Consider the following 5,046-nt stretch of genomic DNA (forward strand, 5'->3'; position numbering starts at 1 on the left):
GAAGTACCAATTTAAACAAAAGCTGTGAGTCACAGTATTTCAAAAATCTTCAAACAGTAGCTCCTCCTAGGGAATCCTCTTCACCTGTTGACTAACAGCTGCAGATTTAACAATCTGGAGTAAAGTCAAGAGCATTGCACAAAAACAAGCTAGGGAACCTATTCTTAGCAACTTATTACCAGACTAAAATACTTCTGGGCTTTTCAGTTTCATAAGACCTTTTTTTAAACCTGATATCACAAGGCTATTATTAATCATAGATGAAATCTATAGTAGCATGAAAAAACGACCAGATTGCCCTTAGGGTACAAGAAATTTGGGGCCGGGCGTGGTGGCTTGCGCCTGTAATCCCAGCACTTTGGGAGGCCGAGGTGGGCGGATCACTGGATCAGGAGATCAAGACCATCCTGGCTGACACGGTGAAACCCCGTGTCTGCTAAAAATACAGAGAATTAGCCAGGCGTGATGGTGGGCACCTGTAGTCCCAGCTACTCGGGGGGCTGAGACAGGAGAATCGCTTGAACACAGGAGGTGGAGCTTGCAGTGAGCCGAGATTGCACCACTGCATTCCAGCCTGGGTGACAGACTCTGTCTCAAAAAAAAAAAAAGAAAGAAAGAAAGAAAGAAATTTGGGCAATTGTGTTTTGATCACAGAGAGGACCCATGTGCTAGGGACTTAGGATGTCTTGGGTGGGTAGTGGCCCTTCCTTCCGCAACTCAAAGGCTTTATCCAAATACAAACACCTCTTCCCCCAGCCTTCTTTAAGTTGCCGTTAGTGTTAGTGTTAACACCTGATTTCATCTATATGCGAATGAGCTCCATAAGCCAACAAGGTAAACTCCAGCTGTGGCTCTTAGGAAGTTAATTGCTGCTTTAAGAGGGTTTATTTAATGCTATGGTGGGTTACTGAGAGAGTGATGCTGGTTTAACTCTAACAAGTTTGGTGTGCTAAAGGGTCAGACATAGAGAAATATCAAAGTAGCTCGAGAAGGAGCAGGTGTTAGGGAAAGGGATATTTTTAGGATGGGTTGGAGTACTTGAGCATGTTTGTAGGCTGGGAATGAGAATCAGTGGCAAAGACAGTCTGGGTGCAATAAAATAAGTTGGAAAGAGAACTTGAAGAATAGAGTAATAGAATAGGAATTGAGTGATAGACATGACTCGGACCAAGAGGAGGACAGAGGACTAACAGTCTCTTTGAATGTGTGAAGGTCTGGCCGTTTTGTAGAGATGACAGAGACAGAAGCAACGGGGAACACACTTTCTTTGTAACAAGGTCCTTAGGTCCAATGAGTGCTGTCTGTGAAGTTTACTACGGGTGAGTAGGTGTCATCATTTTGAGTCTGTCAAAGGCAGTAGTCTCTGTAGCCTCTTCCAGACTGAGGAGTCTTTAATTCAACTTGTAGTACATGAGCCCCTTTTTCTCTTTTTCCTTTTTTATCTGACTTTAAAAGTTAGGAGAGCCCCTTTCTTTTTGATGCCAAACTGCCTTCTAGTTTTTAGACACTTAAAGAGCTGCACTGCCTCAGGCCACTTGTTTTACATTAATAATAATGGCATGTTTCCCCTTGCTATATAAAGTTACCATTAATGTGTACTTTCAATGGAGCTAATTAATTTGCAATGATAAATGCATGCTCCTTGCTTGATTTCTGTTGTGAGCCACGCATGAGTTAGAGGTGGCATTTATGACCATGGAACAGAAAGAAACTTCTAAATTGCACCAAGAACCTGGCCACATTGACAGCGTGCCCTCACTAAATGGAATGGCCAGCCTAGTTGACACAGGTGAAGACAATGTCAAAAACAGAACATTGAGTATTTGAGTATTAGAGGTCTCAGAGATCATCCTGTCCTCCCTCCTCATTCTGCAGATGGCCAAGCTGTGCCCGCATTCCAAGTCCTTATCCAGAGCTCTCTCCATGACAACCTTCTTAGTGACAGTATTACTTAATGTTTTTATTATTCCACACTGCTTTTGCTAGCACTCATGGAAGAAATGATTTTTATTCTAAAGAGAACAAACATGGACTATAACTTATCAGTGATAAAAAATAAAACCATACAATAGAGAGGAGGAATTTTAATAATGTTTAAATTTCATAGGTGTAAAGATTTCCAAACCATCTTACTTATTACTAGTGAATATTGGTGAGTTTACATGCTTTTTTCCTTCTACCTGTTTGGCCCTGTACAAAAATCCAACTCTCTGAAACTTTCCCTCATCTGTAAAATATTTATTTGGCAAAGTTGTTATAAGGATTAGAAATAATGTGTCAGTAGCTGGAAATCTTACTCAGAATTGACTTTAATTCTGTTAGTCTTCTAAATCCTTAAAGAATTAAGAATTGCCTTGAAATTACCATTGGATATAACAGAGTATTGTCAGTGAGTCTTTGGTGGAGTTGGGTTTCATGTGAGATCAGGCTTTTAAAACTGCCCTCCTCAGATGAAGAAAAGCTCCAGTGAGCTCCATGAACCTGATCAGTTTCAGTGTGAAATATCAGCTCTCTTGGGATCCGCAGGAATAGGAATCCAGCTCTGTGAACGTTGCAGCTTGATATAGTTGTGCTCATTTAATTGACCCTTGATTTTAGTACCAAAGAATAATTGGAAGAAAGAGGAACGTCATTTTGGATCTGGGATTGAATAGTGAAAATTATATATAATAATAGTTTCTTAAGGGATTACTTACAGTTTACTTAATAGGTGATGTGTTTGATATTTTTGTATGAATTATCTTAATTCTTACAACAACCCTGTAAAGTAGGATTATCCTAATCTTATGGGTTGATGAAACTGAGGTCTGGAGAGATTTCGTGATTTCCCTGTTTCTTAAGCTGACAGGTAGAGAGCTGGGATTCATGTCACCTCTGCCTGAGTCCAAAGATCATTTTCGTAACCATTAGGCTCTAATACCTGAAGTAAGTTATATTGAAACGGAATCCAGGAGACAATTTTGACAAAGCTTACTGAGAGCTTTGTGATTCCATGAAAACTTTATGATTATCCTAAGTGAAAAGCAAAGAGCCTGGATTCTAAAACCAGACTACCTGGATTCAAATTCTGCCTCCATTTACTACAGGAGAAAAGGAATAACCTCTATGTCTCAGTTTCCTCATCTGTAAAATAGGAAGACAAAGAGTGGCTACCTCACAGGGCTGCTGTGAAGAGTGAATGAGTTCATGCATGTAAAGCATTTAGAACAGTGCTTCGTATATAGTAAGAGCTGTGTGTTTGCTATTGATATTATATCAGCAATGATCATGCATTTCCAGAAAAGGGATTTATAAAACATCTAAATAAGGAAGAATATTTCTAACCATGTTGTTTCATTTGACCCTAAACATTTCTGTTCTTAGGAATGTATATACTTAACAGATTAATGACACATACATATTTATATTAGTGTTCTTTTTAAAAAGAAGAGCTTTAATGAGATATACTTCACCCATTTAAAGTGTAATTCAATGGTTCATAGTATATTCACAGATTTTGGAACAATCTTACAACAAAACAACTTCAGAATGTTTTCGTCACCCCAAAAAAAGCCCTGCACCCATTACTTACCATTCCCCATTTCACCGCAACCCCCCAGCTCTAGGCAATCATTAATTTATTTTCTGTCTCTGCAGATTTGCCTATTCTGGATGTTTCCTATTAATGGAACCATAAAATACGTGGACCGACTGATTTTATTGAGATATGATTTGCATACCATAAAATTCATCTTTTAATGGTATGTAATGTAGTGGTTTTTAGTATATTCATAATGTTGCACGAGCATCACAACTGTCTAATTCCAGAATGTTTTCATCACTACCCCCCAAACCCGTACCCTTTAGCAGCCACTCCCCACTCTACCTTCCCCGCCAGCCCCAGGCAACCACTAACCTAGTTTCAGTGTCTATGGATTTGCCTATTCTAGATGTTTCCTATGAATGAAGCTATACAACATATGGCCTTTGTGTCTGGATTCTTTAATTTAACATATTATTTTCAAGGTTCATCCATGTGGTAGCATCTATCAGTACTTCATTCCTTTTTATGGCTGAATCATATTCCACTGTATGGATTGGCCACATTTTGTTTATCCATTCATCAGTTAGTGGACCTTGATGCTATTTCCACTGTTTGGATGTTATGAATCGTGCTGTTGTGAACATTTGTGTGCAAGTGTGGACATATGTGTTCATTTTTCTTTATTATATACTAGACATGAAAAATTGGATCATATAAGTGACTCCATGTTTAACATTTTAAGGAACTGCAAAACTATTTTCCAAAGCAGGTTACCGTTTTACATTTCTACCAGTAATATGTGAGGGTTCCTTGTTCTCTACGTTCTTGAAAACTTTTGTTATTATCTTTTTAATTATAGCCATCCTAACGAGTGAGAAGTGGTATCTCATTGTGATTTTGATTTGTATTTTCCTAATCACTAATAGTGTTGAGCATCTTTTCATATGGTTATTGGCCAATTGCATATCTTCTTTGGACAAATGTATTTTCAAATCTTTGCCTGCTTTTAAATTGGGTTACTTATTGTTGAATTGTAAGAGTTTTAAAATTCTGGATACCAGACCCTTATCAGATACAGGATTGCAATATTTTCTCCCATGCTGTGGGTTATCTTTTTACTTTCTTGATAGTGTTCACTGAAGCACATTTAAGTTTTACATTTTCATAAAGTCAGATTTATCTATTTTTTTCTTTGCTTGTGCTTTTAGTTTCATATCTAAGAAACCATCGCCTAATCTAAGGAAATGAAGATTTACGTCTGTATTTTCTTCTAGGAATTTTATTGTTGTAGCTCTTGTATTTAGGTCTCTAATCCCTCTGGGTCAATTTTTGTTTATTGTATGAGATAGGAGTCCAAATTTATTCCTTTGTATACGGATATTCAGTTGTCACATAACCATTTGTTGGAAAGACTATTCTTTCCCACATTGGATTGTCTTGGCATCCTTGCCTAAAACAAACTGACCATTGATATATGGGTTTATTCTGAGTGTATTCTATTCCATTGATTTATATGTTTATCC

General features: G+C 37.9%; 1 annotated feature.

Annotated features, from left to right (window-relative positions):
- Positions 517 to 1,018: an enhancer, noted in NCBI's record as "NANOG-H3K4me1 hESC enhancer chr4:186401399-186401900 (GRCh37/hg19 assembly coordinates)". NCBI's record gives its function as "activates a minimal SCP1, AML or CMV promoter by ChIP-STARR-seq in naive H9 embryonic stem cells {active_cell/tissue: H9 hESC(naive)}" and the evidence as "EXISTENCE:reporter gene assay evidence [ECO:0000049][PMID:30033119]".

Source organism: Homo sapiens, chromosome 4 (assembly GCF_000001405.40).
Source record: "Homo sapiens chromosome 4, GRCh38.p14 Primary Assembly".
In the NCBI taxonomy this organism is placed as follows: Eukaryota; Metazoa; Chordata; class Mammalia; order Primates; family Hominidae; genus Homo; species Homo sapiens.